Source organism: Homo sapiens, chromosome 9 (assembly GCF_000001405.40).
Source record: "Homo sapiens chromosome 9, GRCh38.p14 Primary Assembly".
Lineage (NCBI taxonomy): Eukaryota > Metazoa > Chordata > Mammalia > Primates > Hominidae > Homo > Homo sapiens.
The window spans coordinates 112,363,810-112,383,537 of NC_000009.12; the positions used below are offsets into that span (position 1 = coordinate 112,363,810).

At 43.8% G+C, this 19,728-nt stretch overlaps 2 protein-coding genes across 9 annotated transcripts in view, besides 6 other annotated features; one reads left to right on the plus strand and one right to left on the minus strand.

Moving 5' to 3' along the window:
* Nucleotides 1–16,073, minus strand: part of PTBP3 (polypyrimidine tract binding protein 3) — a 162,168-nt gene extending 146,095 nt beyond the window's left edge. For all 4 annotated transcript variants that reach the window (XM_047424272.1, XM_047424274.1, XM_047424273.1 and 1 more), the window contains exon 1: nucleotides 14,891–16,073. The gene's annotated coding sequence lies outside the window, so the exon portion shown is untranslated. The remainder of the gene's footprint in view (nucleotides 1–14,890) is intronic.
* Nucleotides 15,483–15,532: an enhancer, noted in NCBI's record as "active region_28822". NCBI's record gives its function as "activates an Ori minimal core promoter by ATAC-STARR-seq in GM12878 lymphoblastoid cells {active_cell/tissue: GM12878}" and the evidence as "EXISTENCE:reporter gene assay evidence [ECO:0000049][PMID:35858748]".
* Nucleotides 15,633–15,882: an enhancer, noted in NCBI's record as "active region_28823". NCBI's record gives its function as "activates an Ori minimal core promoter by ATAC-STARR-seq in GM12878 lymphoblastoid cells {active_cell/tissue: GM12878}" and the evidence as "EXISTENCE:reporter gene assay evidence [ECO:0000049][PMID:35858748]".
* Nucleotides 15,882–16,481: an enhancer, noted in NCBI's record as "H3K27ac hESC enhancer chr9:115141971-115142570 (GRCh37/hg19 assembly coordinates)". NCBI's record gives its function as "activates a minimal SCP1, AML or CMV promoter by ChIP-STARR-seq in primed H9 embryonic stem cells {active_cell/tissue: H9 hESC(primed)}" and the evidence as "EXISTENCE:reporter gene assay evidence [ECO:0000049][PMID:30033119]".
* Nucleotides 15,882–16,502: a biological region, named in NCBI's record as "H3K27ac hESC enhancer GRCh37_chr9:115141971-115142570".
* Nucleotides 15,913–16,032: an enhancer, noted in NCBI's record as "active region_28824". NCBI's record gives its function as "activates an Ori minimal core promoter by ATAC-STARR-seq in GM12878 lymphoblastoid cells {active_cell/tissue: GM12878}" and the evidence as "EXISTENCE:reporter gene assay evidence [ECO:0000049][PMID:35858748]".
* Nucleotides 16,253–16,502: a silencer, noted in NCBI's record as "silent region_20191". NCBI's record gives its function as "represses an Ori minimal core promoter by ATAC-STARR-seq in GM12878 lymphoblastoid cells {active_cell/tissue: GM12878}" and the evidence as "EXISTENCE:reporter gene assay evidence [ECO:0000049][PMID:35858748]".
* HSDL2 (hydroxysteroid dehydrogenase like 2) overlaps nucleotides 16,299–19,728 on the plus strand; it is a 92,298-nt gene continuing 88,868 nt past the window's right edge. For all 5 annotated transcript variants that reach the window (NR_036651.2, NM_032303.5, NM_001195822.2 and 2 more), the window contains exon 1: nucleotides 16,299–16,371. Coding sequence is in view for 3 of the 5 variants with exons in the window: in NM_032303.5 (NP_115679.2) it covers nucleotides 16,355–16,371 (17 nt within the window). In the remaining 2 variants the exon portion in view is untranslated. The remainder of the gene's footprint in view (nucleotides 16,372–19,728) is intronic.

A 19,728-nucleotide genomic window follows, 5' to 3' on the forward strand; every position in this document is an offset into this window, starting at 1 on the left:
TATGGTAAATTTGATATAATCAATAAACCAACATTGACATATCATTATCAACCAAAATCCATAGGGTTCACTCTGTGTTGTACCTTCTGTGAATTTTGACAAATATATAATGACATATCTGTAACATTATGGTATCATACAGAATAGTTTTACTGCCCTAAAAATCTTCTGATCTCTGCCTATTGATCCCTCCCTCCTCACTAACTACCGGCAAACACTGATCCTTTTTACTGTCTCCATAGTTTTGCCTCTTCAGAATGTCATATATTTGGAATCATACAGTGTGTACCCTTTCCAGACTGGCTTCTTTCGCTTAGTAATATGCATTTAACTTTCCTCCATGTCACTGTGGCTTGCTAGGTCAGTTCTTTTTTTTTTTTTTTTTTTTTTTTTTTTTGAGACAGGGTCTCACAGTAGCAAGATCTTTAAAAACAGGCAATAAAAGTTTAATTTGATAAGAGAATTTCAAGAAGACAAAAAAAAAGCCCTAGTTATTTGCAAAGCAGAAGAAAAGCAAAAGAGCATACTAACCTTTTATAAGTATTTTGGTAAAGAAAAGTACCAGGGGGCCAGGCACCATGGCTCATGCCTGTAATCCCAGCACTTTGGGAAACCGAGGTGTGTGGATCATTTGAGCCAGGAGTTCAAGACCAGCTTGGGCAACACAGCAAGACCCTGTCTTTACAAAAACTATAAGCCTGTAGAACCAGCTACTCGTGAGGCTGAGGTGGAAGGATAGCTTGAGCCTAGGCGTCTAAGGCTGCAGTGAGCTATGATCACGCCACTGTACTCTAGCCTGTGCAACAGGGCAAGACCCTGTCTCTATTTTTAAAAAATTAAGAAATTTAAAAAAGAAATATTGTGAGAATTAGGAAAATATGACAGAGACACAAAGTGAGGACACATTATTGGAAAAATGGCACCAATTGACTTGCGTGACACAGGGTTGACAGAAATATTCAATTTGTAAAAAATGCATTATCTGTGAAGTACAATAAAGTGAAGCTCCATAAAACAAGGCATACTTACATACATTACCACTAACTAAGTCACTATGTTGTATATTAGATTTCCAGAACTTACTGACCCTATCTAACAGTTTCAGTACCGTGTAATCTACATATCTCCATTCCTCCACCCCCACCACAACCCAGCCTCTGGCAGCCACCCTTCTATTTGCTGCTTCTACGTGTTCAACATTTTTAGATTCCACACATAAGTGAGATCATGCCTTTCTGTGGCTGGCTTATATCACTTAGCATAATGTCTTCCACGTTCATCCATGTTATCACAAATGACAGGATTTCTTTCTTCTTTAAGGCTTAATAGTATTTCATTGTATATGTCTATCTATCTATCTATGTATCTATATATGTATGTATCTATCTATACATATGTCACATTTTCTTTATCCATTCATCCATTGATGGACACTGATATGGTTTGGCTCTGTGATCCCAGGCAAATCTCATCTTGTAGCTCCCATAATTCCCATGTGTTGTGGGAGGGACCCAGTGGGAGATAATTGAATCATGGGGGTGGGTCTTTCCCTTGCTGTTCTCATGAGAGTGAATAAGTCTCATGAGATCTGATGGTTTTAAAAATGGGAGTTTCCTTGCACACACTCTTTCGCTTTGTCTGCTGCCATCCATGTAAGATGTGACTTGCTCCGTCTTGCCTTCCTTCATGACTGTGAGGCTTCCCCAGCCATGTGGAACTGTAAGTCCATTAAACCCCTTTCTTTTGTAAATTGTCCAGTCTTGGGTATGTCTTTATCAGCAGCATGAAAATGGACTAATACAGTAAATTAGTACCAGTGGTGTGGGGTGCTGCTGAAAAGATACCGAAAAATGTGGAAGTGACTTTGGAACCGGTAATAGACAGAGGTTGGAACAGTTTGGAGGGCTCAGAAGAAGACAGGAAAACGTGGAGAAGTTTGGAACTCCCTAGAGACTTGTTGAATAGTTTTGATCAAAATGCTGATAATGATATGGATAATGAAATCCAGGCTGAGGTGGTCTCAGATGGAGATGAGAAACTTGTTGATAACTGGAGCAAAAGTGACTTGGGTGCTGTTACAGGCATTCCATTTTATAAGGGAAGCAGAGTTCTGAAAATTTGCAGCGTGACAATGCGATAGAAAAGAAAATCCCATTTTCTGAGGAGAAATTCAAGCCAGCTGCAGAAATTTGCATAAGTGGCTGGGCACAGTGGCCTGTAATCCCAGCACTTTGGGAGGCCAAGGTGGGTGGATCATGAGGTCAGGAGTTCGAAACCAGCCTGGCCAACATGGTGAAACCCAGTCTCTACTAAAAATACAAAAATTAGCTGGGTGTGGGGGTGCATGCCTGTAGTCCCAGCTACTCAGGAGGCTAAGGCACAATAATTGCTTGAACCCAGGAAGCGGAGATTGCAGTGAGCCAAGACACACCATTGCACTCCAGCCTGGGCAATAGAGTAAGACTCTGTCTCAAAAAAAAAAAATTGCATAAGTAATGAGGAGCTGAATGGTAATTCCCAAGAGAATGGGGGAAATGTTGCCAGGGCATGTCAGAGGTCTTCATGGCAGCCCCTCCCATCACAGGAGGAAAAAATGGTTTCATGAACTGGGTCCAGTGTTCCCAAGCTGTGTGCAGCCTAGGGACTTGGCACCCTGCTTTCCAGCCACTCCAGCCATGGATGAAAGGGGCCAATATAGAGCTTGGGCCATGGCTTCCGAGGGTTCAAACCCCAATCCTCGGAAGCTTCCACGTGGTGGTGAGCCTGCAAGTTCACAGAAGATTTGGGGTTTCTGAACCTCCACCTAGATTTCCAAAGATGCGTAGAAATGCTTGGATGCCCAGGCAGAAGTTTGCTGCAGGGGTGGGCCCTCATGGAGAACCGCTGCTAGGGTAGTGCAGAAGGGAAAGGTAGAATCAGAGCCTCCACACAGTCCTTAGTGGGGCACCACCTAGTGGAGCTGTGAGAAGAGGGCTACCGTCTTCCAGGCCCCAGAATGATAGATCCACTGACAGCTTTCACCATTCACCTGGAAAAGCTGCAGACACTCAATCCTAGCCTGTGAAAGCAGCCAGGAGGGGGGCTATACCCTGTAAAGCCACAGGGGTGGAGCTGCCCAGGACTGTGGGAACTCACTTCTTGCATCAGCATGGCCTGGATGTGAGACATGGAGTCAAAGGTGATCATTTTGGAGCTTTAAGATTTGACTGCCCTGCTTTCTTTGTGGTTACCATGAGCCTAACATAAAATATCTTATCACAGTCTATTTTAAGTTGACACTAGCTTAACTTTCATCACAAGAACTTTGCATTTTAACTTTTCTTCCCACATTTTATGTTATTGATGTTACAATTTGTATGTTGTCTATCCATGACCAAATTATTATAGCTATATTTTAATACATAAAAAAACTTTAGACTACAGTTAAAAGTGATTTATGTACCCCCATTACTATATTAGAGTATTCTGAATTTGACTATTTTTACCCTTACAGTGAATGTTATACTTGCATGTTTTCATTTTGTTAGCTATTATTCTTTTGTTTCAACACAAAGAACTCCCTTTAGCATTTCTTGTAAAGCAGATGTAGTGGTGATGAACTCCCACAGGTTTTTTTGTTTGTGTTTTGGGTTTTTTTGTTTTGTTTTGTTTTTTGGCTAGGTTCTTATCTCCTTTATTTCTGAAGGACAGCATTACTGACCTTCAGAACAGTATAGTATTGTTAGTTGGCAGGTATAGTATTCTTAGTCAGGTATAGTATTGTTAGTTGCCAAGTTTTTTCATCTTTCAACATTTTGAATATATTCCCATGGTTTCCTGGCCTGCAAGGTTTCTACTGAGAAATGCAATGATAATCTTATGATGGTTCCCTTGTATGTAATGAGTTCCTTTTCTCTTGCTGCTTTCAAAATTCTTTCTATCTTTGACTTTGATGATTTGATTATAATGGGCCTCAGTGAAGATCTCTTTATATTTAATCTATTTGGGATTCTTTGGGTTTCATGGATTTGGATGTTCATTTCCCTTCCCAATTTGGGGAGTTTTCTGTCATTGTTTCTTTAAATAAGTTTTCTGCCCCCTTCTCTTTCACTGTTCCTTCTGGAACTCCCATAATGTATATATTAGTTTGTTTGATGATATCCCATGATTCCTGTAGGCTTTCTTCAGTTTTTTTTTCTTTTTGTTCTTTTCATTGTTGTTGTTGAGACGAAGTCTCACTCTGTCACCCAGGCTGGAGTGCAGTGGCACAATCTTGGTTCACTGCAAACTCTGCCTCCTGGATTCAAGCAATCCTCCCACCTCAGCCTCTCTAGTAGCTGGGACTACAGGCATGCACCACCATGCCTGGCTAATTTTTGTATTTGTATTTTTTATTTTTTGAGACAGAGCGTCATTCTGTTGCCCAGGCTGGAGTACAATGGTGCAACCTCGGCTCACTGCAACCTTTGTCTCCCAGGTTTAAGCGATTCTTGTGCCTCGGCCTCCTGAGTAGCTGGGATTACAGGCGTGCGCCACCACACCCAGCTAATTTTTGTATTTTTAGTAGAGACAGGGTTTCGCCATGTTGGCCAGGTTGGTCTCGAACTCCTGACCTCAAGTTATCCACCCACCTTGGCCTCCCAAAGTGCTGGGATTACAGGTGTGAGCCACCGTGCCCAGCCCAGGTACCTTATCTTCAGGGAGCACACTGTGAAAGGAATTCTTTATCAAATCTTGGCTTTTTTTTTTTAAGGTGATAAATGATTCCCTCACAATATTACAATATAACTCCCTTGAGAAAAGTTGGATTGGTTATTTTCATTCCCATACACATGGGCCTTCCCATTATAATTTCATAAGGGGACAATTGATGTTTTCCCAAAGGGATGGATTGGAGTGTATGCAGCACTAGTGGGAGTGCTTTGGGCCAGGGGAGATGAAATACCTCTGTGAACTTAGCCAATTTGCATAAGTAACGAGGAGCCAAATGTCAATTATCAAGACAACGGGGGAAAATGTCTCCAGGGCATGTCAGAGGTCTTCACGGCAGTCCCTCCCATCACAAGCTGGGAGACCTAGGAGAAAGAAATGGTTTCATGGGCCAGGGCCAGGGCCTTGCTGCTTGGTGCCCTGTGCCCCAGCCATGGCTAAAAGGGGCCAATGTACAGCTCAGGCCATTGCTTCAGAGGGTCCAATCCCCAAGCCTTGATGGCTTACACGAGGTCTTGTGCCTGCAGATGCAAAGAGGTGAGGAATTAAGGATTGGGAACCTCCACCTAGATTTCACAGGATGTATAGAAACACCTGGATGTCCAAGCAGAGGTGTGCTGCAGGGGCAGAGCCCTCATGGAGAACCTCTGCTAGGGCAGTGTGGAAGGGAAATTTGGGGTGGAAACCCCTACACAGAGTCCCCACTGGGATACTGCTTAGTGGAGCTGTGAGAAGAGGGCCACCATCCTCCAGGTCCTAGAATGACAGACCCACTGACAGCTTGCACCATGTACCTGGAAAAGTCACAGACACTCAACATCAGCCTGTGAAAGCAGCTGGGAGGGCGTCTGTACCCTGCAAAGCCATGGAGGTGGAGCTGCCCAAGACCATGAGAACTCACCACTTGCATCACTGTGACCTGGATGTGAGACACGGAGTCAAAGGAGATTATTTTGCAGCTTTAAGATTTGACTATCCCTCTGGATTTTGGACTTGCATGGGGCCTTTAGCTCCTTGATTTTGACCAATTTCTCCCATTTGGAATGGGTGTATTTACTGAATGCCTGTACTCACATTGTATCTAGGAAGTAACTAACTTGCTTTTGATTTTACAGGTTCATAGGTGGAAGAGGCTTGCCTTGTCTCAGATGAGACTTCAGACTATGAACTTTTGAATTAATGCTGAAATGAGTTAAGACTCTGGGGGACTGTTGGGAAGGCATGATTGTGTTTTGAAATGCGAGGACAGGAGATTTGGGAGAGGCCAGGGACAGAATGATATGGTTTGGCTGTGTCCCCACCCAAATCTCATCTCAAATTGTAGCTCCCATAATACCCACGTGTTATGGTATTATGGGAGGGACCCAGTGAAGGTAACTGAATCATAGGGGCCAGTTTTCCCATGCTTTTCTCATGATAGTGAATAAATCTCATGAGATCTGATGATTTTATAAAAGGCAGTTCCCCTGCACACACACTCTTGCCTGCCACCATGTAAGACATGCTTTTGCTCCTCCTTTGCCTTCTGCCATGATTGAGAGGCCTCCCTAGCCATGTGGAACTGTGAGCTTATTAAACCTCTTTTTCTTTATAAATGATCCAGTCTCAGGTGTTTCTTAATAGCAGTATAAAAATGGACTAATACAATGTTTCTGCAAGGGAACAAATGCTGGAAAATCCTCTTCTACCATCTTGCTGATGTCACTGCTCCCACTTTTGATTACTGTAACCTTATAGTAAGTTTTAAAATATGGAAGTGTGGGCCAGGTGCAATGGCTCATGCCTGTAATCCCAGCACTTTGGGAGGCTGAGGCAGGTGGATTACTTGAGCTCAGGAGTTCAAGACCAGCCTGGACAACATGGCAAAACCCTATCTCCACCAGAAATACAAAAAAATAGTGGTGTGGTCATGCATGCCTGTGGTCCTAGCTACTCAGGAGGCTGAGATGGGAGGATCACTTGAGCCCAGGAGGTGGAGGTTGCAGTGAACCGAGATTGCGCTACTGCATTCCAGACTGGATGACAGAGTGAGACCCCGTTTCAATTAAAAAAAAAATCTGGAAGTATGAGTCCTCCAATTGTGTTGTTCTTTTTCAAATTGTCTTAGCTATTGGGGATGTCTCACAAGTCCACATTAATTTGAGGATTGGCTTTTCCATTTCTATGAATAAAGCTATTATAATTTTGATAGGGATTGTATTGAATTTGTAGATTGCTTTGAGGAGTATTGTAATTTGACAATTTTAAGTCTTTCAACCCATGAACTGGAATGCCTTGCCATTTATTTAGGTCTTCTTCAGTTTCTTTCAGCAACGTTTTTTAGTTTTTGTATAAATCTTGCATTTTTTGGCTAAATTTATTCCATGTATTTTATTCATTTTGATGTTCTTATAAATGAAATTTATTAATTTCCTTTTTGGATTATTTATTACTAGTGTATATAAATAAGGTTGCATTTTTAATATTCTGCCTCCTACAACCTTAGTAAATTCATTTATTAGCTCTAGTAGTTTTTTTTTGTGGATTCCTTAGGTTTTTCTAGATATAAGATCATGTCATCTGCAAGTAAAGATAGTTTTACTCCTTCCTTTCCAGTCTGGGTGCTTTTTTTCTTTTTCTTATCTAATTGTTCTGGCTATTGCCCCCAGTACAATGTTGAATATAAGTGCCCAAAGTAGACATCTTTGTCTTACTCACCTGTTTTGGGTATAGCACCTGAAATAATCATATGAATCATTTCCTAAAGACTGCAGTTCTCCCCAACCTCTGTGGTTAATGCCCAACTACTTACTGTCCAGATTTCAACATGTTTCTTACTGCTAGACTCCTTGCTGCCTCATTCTACATCCTTGACCTACTACTTGCTGTCTTGTTTTCTCAATACTGGATTGCTCCTACTAATTGCACTTGGATTTTTCACGTGAACCCCTAATTCATCTGTTTCAACTCAACTATGAAACTGCTAGAAGAGGTTGGTGGACATTCCACATGAAAAGATATAAAATTATTACCTTGGAGAATGCAAAATAAACTTATTAGAGCACTCTCCTCCACACATTGTTCAAGAGCTTTGGTGTATTTCTCAATTCATAGATCGGTTCTGCTTCCAAAATCCAGGAGAATGAGAACTGGAGAAGTTTTTAGTAGATTTTTTTTTTTTTTTTTTTTTTTACCAGATCCCACTGGTGCTCAAGGTAGTCATAAAAGTTACACCTTTATTTCTTAGTTCACAATTCATTCATTTTTGTTTTTTGAGACAGCATCTCACTCTGTCACCTAGGCTAGAGTGCAGTGGCATGATCATGGCCCACTGCAGCCTCAACCACCCAAGCATAAGGGATCCTTTTGCCTCAGCCTCCCAAGTAGCTGGGATCACAGGCATGCACCACCACATCTGGCTAATGGCTATTTTTTTGTTTTATTTTTTGTAGAGATGGAGTCATGTTCTGTTGCTTGACCTGGTTTATTCTTCATTGCTTAGGTATTGTTCTCCAAAGCACAACTGTAAAAAGGGGGCTGGGTCTTGAAGAGTTTTCTGCATCAGCCATGTTCTGTTAAAAATTTTTCTTCCATAGATTCTTTTTTCTTTTCAGAGACAAGGTCTTATTCTGTCACCAAGGCTGGAGTGTAGTGGTGCAATCATAACTTACTTCAGCCCCCTCAAGCTCCTGGGCTCAAGTGATCCTCCCTCCTCAGCCCTCCTGAGTACCTGGAACTACAGGCACATGTCACCATGTCCAGCTAATTAAAAGAATTTTTTTTGTAGAGACAGGGTCTCACTATGTTGCCAGGCTGGTCTTGAACTCCTGGCTTCAAGCAATTCTCCTGCCTTGGCCTCCTAAAGTGCTGGGATTACATGCATGAGCAACTGCACCTGGTTTTCCATAAATTTTTTTGTTTAAAAAAACGAGGTGGAATTCACATATGAAATTAACAATCTTAAAGTGAAATTTTCATTGACATTTAGTATAATTACTATGTTGTGTGACTACTACCTCTATCTAGTCCCATAACATTTTCATCACCCCAAAACGAAACTCCATACCAATTAAGCAGTTACTCTCTATTGCCCCCTTCCCTTGGCCTCTGGCAGCCACCAATCTGCTTTCTATCTCTACAGATTTACCTATTATGGACATTATTTATAGAAATGGAATCATAAAATAGGTGACCTTTTGTGTCTGCCTTCTTTCACTTAGCACAACGTTTTTGAGGTTCATTCATATTTTAGCATGTATCAGTACTTCATTCCTTTTTATAGCTGAATCATATTCTATTGAATGCATATACCATATTGTGTTTATCCATTCATTAGTTGATAGACATTTGTTTCCACCTTTTGGCTATTATGAATAATGCTGCCGTGAACATATACGTACTTCCTTGAATTCATAGGCTTTCTTTTTTTTTTTTTTTTGAGATGAAGTTTCACTCTTGTTGCCCAGGCTGGAATGCAATGGTGCGATCTCAGCTCACTGCAGCCTCTCCCAGGTTCAAGCAATTCTCCTGCCTCAGCCTTCCAAGTAGCTGGGACTACAGTGCCCGCCACCATGCCCGGCTAATTTTTTTTTGTATCTTTAGTAGAGACAGGCTTTCACCGTGTTAGCCAGGATGGTCTCGATCTCCTGACCTTGTGATCTGCCCATCTCAGCCTCCCAAAGTGCTGGGATTACAGGCATGAGCCACCAGGCCCAGCCTACATGAGTTTATTAAGTATTAACTCACATGATCACAAGGTCCCACAATAAGCCATGTACAAGCTGAGGAACAAGGAGAGCCAGTCTGAGCCCCAAAACTGAAAAACCTGGAGTCTGATGTTCAAGGGCAGGATGCATCCAGCTTGGGAGAAAGATGTAGGCTAGGAGGCTAGGCCATTCTAACCTTTTCACATTTTTTCTGCCTGCTTTGTATTCACTGGCAGCTGATTAGATGGTGCCCACCCAGATTAAGGGTGGGCCTGCCTTCCCTAGCCCACTGACTCAAATTTTAATCTCCTTTGGCAACACTGTCACAGACACACCGAGGATCAATACTTTGCATCCTGCAATCCAATTAAGTTGACACTCGGTATTAACCATCACAAGTCCACCCCTTGTCAACTTGAACCCATACACATCTCCTGAGAACATACGTAATCTTCAAATAAAGACAATAAGATCAGAATTCCGCCTAACATAATACAACTATCCTTCCCCAATCCAAATGCTGTTACATAAAGTTAACAATACTTAAATGCTGACATGAAGTCAATAAATCTTATGTCACATGATAAAGGAAAAAGGAAATAAAATGAAGATATTTTCTTAGTACAAGTGTACACCTACACAAACATGTTTTTAACAAAAGAAGGAAATACTCATGACAATTACAGTCCTTGTTTCTGCAACTGGTCACGTGGTCATAGCTGGTATTGATGACTATCTTCTTCTGCTACCCATTCTGTATTCCCTTTGCCTTCATCAAGCAGCTCAGCAGGTCGTGGTTTTTTTTTCCTGGTGGGGTGACCCAAACTTTCATTTCTGAAGGGTCTGGGCCATTTATAGTCCTGCTTGGATTGGGCTGCTGTAGTTTCCCATCGACCTTAACCACGGGGTATGGTAACACTGAGATGCCCTAATGGATCTCCTGTGAATACTGTGGAGTAGTAGACTGATTTCATCTTGATAATCCGGGTCAATCACACCAGGCAACACTAACTCCCTTCTTAGCCCATTGACTTAAAAGGTAGGAGGAGCACAAAATGTCCAGGTGGCAATCTTAACTTCCCATTTAATGGAATCATTGTTGTGTCTCCTGGTGGCAGCATTCCTCCCTCTGGAACTAAGACCTCTAGGCCATCAGAATGTAATGTCACAGGAACAGGAAGCAAATATTTGCTAGTGGATCATTGGGCGTTACGGTAAGTAGTGCCACTTCCACTTCTACCCCTTGATTCCTGGACCCATGAATCCTGGCTATGGGAGAAACAGTACCATATATTGAACACTGATTCAGAGCATACACAACCTTCTGGAGAACTTTGCCCCAGCCCTGCAAAGTATTGTCACCTAGTTGGTGTTGTAATTGTGACATCAAAAGGCCATTCCACTGTTCTATCAATCCAGCTGCTTCAAGATGATGGGGAACATGGTAAGACCAGTGAATTCCATGAGCATGAGCCCACTGCCACACTTCTTTAGCCATAAAGTAAGTATCTTGTTCAGAGGCAATGCTGTGTGGAATACCACGACAGTGGATAAGGCATTCTGTGAGTCCATGGATGGTAGTCTTGGCAGAAGCATTGTGTACAAGATAGGCAAACCCATATCCAGAGTAAGTGTCTATTCCAGTGAGGACAAACCTCTGCCTTTTCCATGATGGAAGAGGTTCAATATAATCAACCTGCCACCAGGTAGCTGGCTTATCACCATGAGGAACTGTGCCATATTGAGGGCTCAGTGTTGGTCTCTGCTGCTGGCAAATTGGGCACTCAGCAGTGGCTGTAGCCAGGTCAGCCTTGGTGAGTGGAAGTCCCTGTTGCCCATGAATAACCTCCATCCCTGCCACCATGGCCACTTTGTTCACGGGTCCACTGGATGATGACAGGGGTGGTTGGGGAAAGAGGCTGAGTGGTGTCCACAGAACGAGTCATCCTATCCACTTGATTATTAAAATCCTCCTCTGCTAAGGTCACCCGTTGGTTAGCACTTCACAGTTTTTGAGCATTCAGAGAGGTCCATCTACATACCTCTTCCCCAAATTTTATTGTCACCAATTTTCCAATCTTGCTTCTTCCAAGTCCCTGACCATCCAGCCAAATCACTGGCTACCGCCCATGAATTAGTGTATAATCATACATCTGGCCATTTCTCCTTCCATGCAAAGTGCACATCCAGGTGCACTGCTGGAAGTTCTGCCCACTGGGAAGATTTCCCTTTATTGCTGGCCTGCAGGGATGTCCTAGAAAGGGGCTGTAGTGCTGCAGCTGTCCACTTTCAGATGATGCCTGCGTATCATGCAAAACCATCTGTGAACCGGGCCCTAGTCTTCTCTTCCTCTGTCAACTGATCATGTCAACTGATCATGATCATAGGGAACTCCCCATGAGGCCACTGGTGCAGGCTAGGGCAAAGAAGGCAGGGTGGCACGAGCGGAGACCATGAGCATTTGAGCCACTTCCTCATGTAACTTATTCCTCAGGTGCCTTCAGGACCTGCTAGAGCCCAATCATGCATATAACACTTCCACTTGATGATGGAATACTGCTGTGCACGACCCACTTTATGGCTAGATGGGTCAGAAAGCATCCAGTTCATGATAGGCAGTTCAGGTCACATGGTGACTTAATGACCCATAGTCAAACGTTCAGTTTCCACCAAAGCCCAGTAACAGGCTAAGAGCTGTCTCTCAAAAGGAGAGTAGTTATCTGCAGAAGAAGGCAGGGTCTTGCTCCAAAATCCTAGAGGCCTCCACTGTGATTCATTTATGGTGGCCTGGCAAAGGCTCCAAATAGCATCCCTATCTGCCACTCATCCCTCAAGCACTATTGGATCTGCTGGGTCATATGGCCCAAGTGGCAGAACAGCTTGCACAGCAGCCTGGACCTGTTGCAGAGCCTTCTCCTGTTCTGGACCCTACTTCTGGTACCAAAATCCGTATTAGTCAGGGTTCTCTAGAGGATATATATATATATATATATATCCTATTACTTCCTTATATACGTGTGTGTGTGTGTGTGTGTGTGTGTGTGTGTGTGTGTAGGGGAGTTTATTAAGTTTTTTTTTTTTTTTTTTTTGAGAAAGAGTCTCGGTCTGTCACCAGGCTGGAGTGCAGTGGCGTGGTCTCCGCTCACTGCAACCTCCGCCTCCCAGGTTCAAGCGATTCTCCTGCCTTAGCCTCCCGAGTAGCTGGGACTACAGGTGTGTGCTACCACGCCCAGCTACTTTTTGTATTTTTAGTAGAGATGGGGTTTCACCACGTTGGCCAGGATGGTCTCCATCTCTTGACCTTGTGATCCGCCTGCCTCGGCCTCCCAAAGTGCTGGGATTACAGGCATAAGCCACCGCGCCCAGCCTATTAAGTATTAACTCACATGATCACAAGGTCCCATAATAGGCCATCTGCAAGCTGAGGTGCAAGGAGAGCCAGTCCAAGTCCCGAAACTGAACCTGGAGTCTGATGTTGGAGGGCAAGAAGGGGATAAACGCACAGGAGAAGGATGTAGGCTGGGAGGCTAGGCCAGTCTCATCTTTTCAGGTTTTTCTGCCTGTCTTATATTCACTGGCAGCTGATTAGATGGTACCCACTCAGATTAAGGGTGGGTCTGCCCTTCCCAGCCCACTGACTCAAATGTTAATGTCCTTTGGCAATACCCTCACAGATACACCCAAGACCAATACTTTGCATCCTTCAATACCATCAAGTTGACACTCAGTATTAACCATCACAAGCCCTATGAAATAAAAAGTTTTATGACCCCTTTCTTCCCAGAATTATGAATGCCAATTTACTTGCTCTACATTTACGCAACTTCCATGACCTGGGGTAGGTAGGTATGCAATGTTGTGTTACTTCCCCATTGTCCATATCCACTTGTGTCCCTGGCCATGGCCAACTAATTTACAGGTTGAAACATTTCCCAGCACCTTGGAAGGCTGTGTGGTGGGAGGATTGCTTGAGGTGAGGAGTTCAAGACCAACCTGGGCAACATAGTGAGACCCCTGTGTCTATAAAAAGTAAAATTAGCCAGGTGTGGTGGCACATGCCCGTGGTCCTGGCTACTTGGGTGGCTGAGCCCAGGAGGTTGAGGCTACAGTGAGCCATGATCATGCTGCTACACTCCAGCCTGGGTGACAGAGCAAGATCTTATCTCAAAAAAACAAAACAAAACGAAACACATTGTACTAGACTGTCTTAGTATTTGAAGCTTGAACAGATACACAGAAAAGACAGGGAAGCCACCTACAATGCATTCTAGAAAGATCATGCTGCTGAGGATCATGGAAGCACCTTAGTTCCCATTGTCAAGCTTAGTTGTTCAGCTCTTCCTTAAGTTATATAAACTATCCCAGAATTCTTCTAAATTCTCCAACCCCTTTAATTTGGTTTAAATTAGCCAAATTACATTAATGTTGCATATAACCAAAACTTAAGGGATATAAATTGGTTGGGAGAATGTGTTGTAACCAGTAGTCTGTCAGGAAACTGTTGCATTTTTAGGTAGTTTTATCAAGCTGAGAAGGGGTGAAATGAGTGAGACTTACCTGACTTTCAAGACATCTATTTTTCAAACCATTTGTTTTCACTTCTTTACTGTGTTATCACCATCCTCCCAGGACTTTACACCAGAAATCTGAAGGTCACCACTGATACCATCTTCCCCCTTTGCTCCTACATCTAATCATTAGTTACATCTGCCAGGTTCCATATCTTGAGTATGTCTTTTCATTTCTACTATTACTGCCTTAGTTCAGGTTACTACTTTTCTTACACATTACATTACTATGGGCTTTTAAATGGCTTCTGTGCCTTTATCTACTCACAAACTATTCTTCATGCTGCAGTCAGAAGTGTTCTAAGCCAAAATTATTCACCTTCCAAAATGAAGATCTAATTATGTTCACAAGTCCTCTCCTTCACCCATTCCTCACCTCTAGCATTAATCTAACACTAGGTTAATCAAGGTAATGGGGTAGAAGGTCATGGGTAACTCCAAATCACACTTTAAATGAACTCTAGTCAAAGTACTGAATACAATGGATTTAAACTTGCTTGGTAAAACTACCTCTAATAATTTAGGAATATATTTGCCTTCTGTGAAAGCCATCGCAAAGTATAAAAATAGTGTAAGTACAGGTATTTAGGCTCACAAAATATCGTTATGACTGAAAAATTGGCAAAGGTTTTTTGTTTGCTTTGCCTCTTCGTTGAGCTCTCTTTCCGTAACAAATGGAAATAGAAGCACACAAATTCAAGAAAGGAGGCTCTAACAGACTGAAGATATTGTGGCTTTCAAAAAGGAGAGAACATTTTAGATGATATGAAGGAAATGTCACCCCGTTACTAAGAATTCACTCTATTCGACAGATATATACACGCTTCAGCAAGTGCTCCTAAGGATGAGAGGAGAGTAAGTTATTTTCATCTAACAGTCTCTATCAACACTCTTCTTAAAACACCTAATGCTTAACAACAGTCTAAAGAACACACTGGCTACTCATACCTCCCATAGGCAGAGACCTTGTCCTTTTTGAGCTGCTGTATCTCAGGTAATCAGCAATCACTTAGTGGATGATAATAATTTGCAAATTCCTCTGGAGCCTCTAAAGACCGTATCATGAATCATCAATTCAAATGCCTACAGGAGTCGGGCAGGTGATATGCAGGAGGAAATAGAGTCATTTAGGGCCCATAACAAAGGGGAGAGAGGCCGGGCGCGGAGGCTCACGCCTGTAATCCCAGCACTTTGGAAGGCCGAGGCGGGCCAATCATTTGAGGTCAGGAGCTCGAGACCAGCCAGCCCAACATGGCGAAACCCCGTCTCTACTAAAAACACAAAAAAATTAGCCAGGCGTGGTGATGCATGCCTGTAGTCCCAGCTACTCCGGAGGCTGAGGGAGGAGAATCACTTGAACCCGGGAGGCGGAGGTTACAATGAGCCGAGATCCGCGCCACTGCACTTCAGCGTGGGCGACAGCGAGACTCCGTCTCAAAAAACAAAACAAAAACAAAGGAGAGAGTACATAAGCCATCTCCAGGCTAGTTTCTTTAACTAGTCTTCATATAATAATCTCCTCAAGGTCCTGTTCTATCCCTACAAAATACAAAACAGTTCCTCGTGTCTTCCTTCAAATATACTACAGTCTTTAGCTCATCAGAGTAGCTGAGTTAGTCCAAGGCATAATCCCAAAAGCGAAACTGAATGTCAGAATTGATCTCATTTCAACACTCATTCCAGAAGTAGAAACTTCTGCAAGTTCAGCTTTTGACTATGAATTCTTCAGCGCGACTTTTGCAGAGAGCTCTGTTCCAAGAAGCTGGCGCCTTAACACAAGCTATCTACCGATGCACAAGGGAAGGCTGGCTTGGGTCCAGATTCGGCGGGAGAGTGGAAACGCGACGCTGGCCGACTTCAGCCACAAAGGCAATTTCTGCCCAGGGCTAGCGTTCCTAAGAGGGGGCCGAGAGAACGCCAGGCTCGGGCGTAGGGGCAAGAAGACCCAGAGCTAACGCACCTCTCGGAGGGCCCAAGCTCAGGGCTCAGTCACCCTCCCAGCTCGGAGCCGGCGCTGGAACACAGCGGCGCGAGGAGAAACCCCTAGAGACAGGGAAAAGGTGGACGTAGCGGCTGACGCTGCCCAGACGCTAGGCGCCGACAGGAGCCTGATTGTCACCGTACGACCAGTGAGGGGGCGGGGCGGAGCTGTGCCTCAAAGCGCCTGCGCGGAGAGCCTGCAATCAGGGACCAGGCTTGGGAGGCGACGAAGAGGAACGCTGGGCGCAGGAGGCCCACTGCATACGCAGGCGCACTCGGCGATCCCGGCTTTTCCGCGCGCAGTTCCCGCACAGGCATCGGGGGGGGCAGGGGCGGGGCAGGGGCGGGGATAAATGCGGAGGGACGGTCCAGCTTTAGCTCTCTGCTCGCCGCCGCCGCTGTCGCCGCCACCTCCTCTGATCTACGAAAGTCATGTTACCCAACACCGGGTAAGGGGGTAGGGGCGGCGCGGGGAGAGACCCTGTCGGGCGAAGGGCGCGTCTCGGTGGGGCCGCCGCGGATCGCCCGGGCTGGCCGGCCCGGCTGTGGGAGGTCAAGGATACTGCCTGGGCACGCTCTGAGCTCTGGTCCGCGCTGGGCACTGTGCACCGAGAATCTGCGGTAACGTGTGAAAAGGAACACAAACTTTTGTATTACAGGATGGCAGCAGTGTAGAAACCTTTTCCACGGGTAAAGGGCCGAGGGGGAGTCACCACGCCGCCCCCAGTGCCGGCCCTCCCTGAGTTTAGCAGGAGTGCGTGCCTGGCCGAATGCGTGTGAGTTCTAGGTGAAAGGTCGCAGGAGCAGCTCCAGAGTTTAAAGAGTTTTCACTTGTTCCTGACGCTCAATTCTAGAGTAATAATGGAGTGTTTAAAAAATGATTTCCAAATTAGAAACTAAACCGATCTTAAAACATGGGTATCTTTGGGGGATTTTTTTTTCACCTTAAAAAATTGTGTTAAAATACGTACAAAATCTGCCATCTTAACCGTTTTTTAAGTGTACACTTCAGTAGTGTTAAGTAGATTCATATCGTTGTGCAGTCAATCTCCAGAACTTTTTTCATCTGCAAGCTGAAACTCTATCCATGAAACAACTCCTCTTCCCCACCTCCGCTCGTACATTGGCAACCACCATTCTACTTTCTGGTTTATGTAAGGTCTGGGTATCTTGAGTTGAGTGACGTGTTGTCAGATTTTGTAATTTGCCTGAAACATGCAGGCATATAGCCAAAGACTTAAAACAGTTCAAAGAGTATAGGGTAAAAAGTGAGTCTCCCCATCCCTAAAATCTAGTTCCCCAGTTACTTACGTTTCTATTTCGTGCATGTATGAACATAATTTGTATACATCCGGATACACACACACACACACACACACACACACATACCCTTTCTTAAAAATAGCAGCAGACTCTATTCTTGGTCTTGCTACTTTTAGTTGGTATGTCTTGGGACATTCTTTCTTTGTTTTTTTTAAAGACGGGGTCTCCCATGTTGCCCAGACTGGCCTGTAGCCTTGAACTCCCAGGCTGATGTTCCTCCCTTCTTAGCCTCTGGAGTATTTAGGATTACAGGCATGCACCGCTGTGCCCAGGGACATACATTTTTAGTACATGGCAGATCTTCCGCCTCCTTTTTTTTTCTTTTGAGATGGAGTCTCGCTCTGTCTTCCAGTCTGGAGTGCAGTGGCATGATCTCGGCTCACTGCAGCCTCCGCCTCCCGCAATTCTCCTGCCTCAGCCTCCCGAGTAGCTGGGACTTCAGGCGCGTGCCACCACGCCCTGTTGATTTTTTTGTATTTTTAGTACAGACGGGGTTTCACCATGTTAGCCAGGATGGTCTCAATCTCATGACCTCGTGATCCGTCTGCCTCGGCCTCCCAAAGTGCTGGGATTACAGGCGTAAGCCACTGCGCCTGGCCCCTCCTCCTTTTTAATGGTTGCATAATATTCTGTAACAGCTTGAGTATCCATTATCCAAAATGCTTGGTTCCAGACGTGTTCGGATTTCAGATTTTCAGATTTGGTTTGCTCAACCTGTATATGAATATACCTTTGTTTATTTAACCTGTTCCCTATTGTTGGATACTAGACTGTTTCCAGTTTTTTGGATACTCTTTTTTTGCTTCCATAATTATACTTGTATTTATCTATTTGCACATATATAAGTGTATATGTAGGATAAACTCCTGGAAGTGAAATTGCTGGATCAAAGAGTAAATGTGGCTGGGCACAGTGGCTCACGCCTGTAGTCCCAGCACTTTGGGAGGCCGAGGCGGGCGGATCACTGGAGGTCAAGAGTTCGAGACCAGCCTGGCCAACGTGGTGAAACTCCGTCTCCACTAAAACTACAAAATTACAAAAATTACAAATACAAAAATTAGCTGGACCTGGTAGCGGGCACCTGTAATCCCAGCTACTCAGGAGGCTGAGGCAGGAGAACCGCTTGAACCTGGAGGCGGAGGTGGCAGTGAGCCGAGATCATGCCACTGCCCTGCCCTCCACCCTGCGAGAGAGAGTGAGAGTCTGTCTCAAAAAGAAAAAAGAGGAAATGCACTTTATATTTTGACAGATATTTCCAGATGACCCCCCAGAAGGGTTGCACACCCAAAAGGATAAATGAGATCCTCTAATCCCACTTGTTGGCTAACCGCAAAATAGTTAATGATGAAAATCTAATTAGAGAAAAAAGTGTCACCTCATTATTGTTAAAATTTGCATTTATTTTATCACAAGTGTGGATTTGGATCTCTTTGTGTATTTAAACCAGGGACAATTTGATCCCCAGAGGACATTTGGTAATATCTCAAGACATTTTTGATAGTCACAATTGAATGGAGATGCTAATGGCATCTCGTGAGTAGAGTACAGGGATGCTGGTGCACATCCTACAATTCACAAGCATTCCGTACAACAAAGAATTATGTAGTCCAAAAGGTCAGTAGTGCAGAGGTTGAGAAACCCTGGTTTAAAGCCATCTATGTATCTTTATATTTGTCTGGCTTAACAAATGAGGTTTTTCGTTAATCTCTGAGGGCTCTGTGTATTTTAAAAATTTGTCTTTTATCACATTACAAATATTTTCCACAGTTTTTCATGTTGCATCTGGACTTTGATTATACTGTTTATTTAACATGGAGAAACATGTTTTTGTGAAGCCAGAGTTATCAGTCTCTTAAGGCTTTTGCATTTTTGAGTTAAACCAAGATCTTTTTTTTTTTTTTTGAGATGGAGTCTTGCTCTGTAAGCCTTTGAGTTAAACCGAGATCTTTCTTTCTGTCTTTCTTTTTTTTGAGATGGAATCTTGCTCTGTATGCCTTTGAGTTAAACCGAGATCTTTCTTTCTGTCTTTCTTTTTTTGAGATGGAATCTTGCTCTGTTGCCCAGGCTTGAGTGCAGTGGTGCGATCTCGTTTCACTGCAACCTCTGCCTCCCAGGTTTAAGTGGTTCTCCTGCCTTAGCCTCACAAGTAGCTGGGATTACAGGCGCACACCACCATGCCGGCTAATTTTTGTAATTTTAGTAGAGATGGAGTTTCACCATGTTGGCCAGGCTGGTCTCAAACTCCTGACCTCAAGTAATCCTCCTGACTCGGCATCCCAACATGCTGGGATTACAGGTGTGAGCCACCGTGCCTGGGCAGATCTTTTTATAATTAGTTTTCTTCTGATATTTTTATGGTCTTATATTTTTGTATTTTTCAAATATATTTGTATTGTCTATATTTTTTATAGTCAGATTTTTTTATCCCCCTGAGATTTCTTTCAGGAAGTGAGTTAGGAAGCCCACTTGATTTTTCTTCAGAT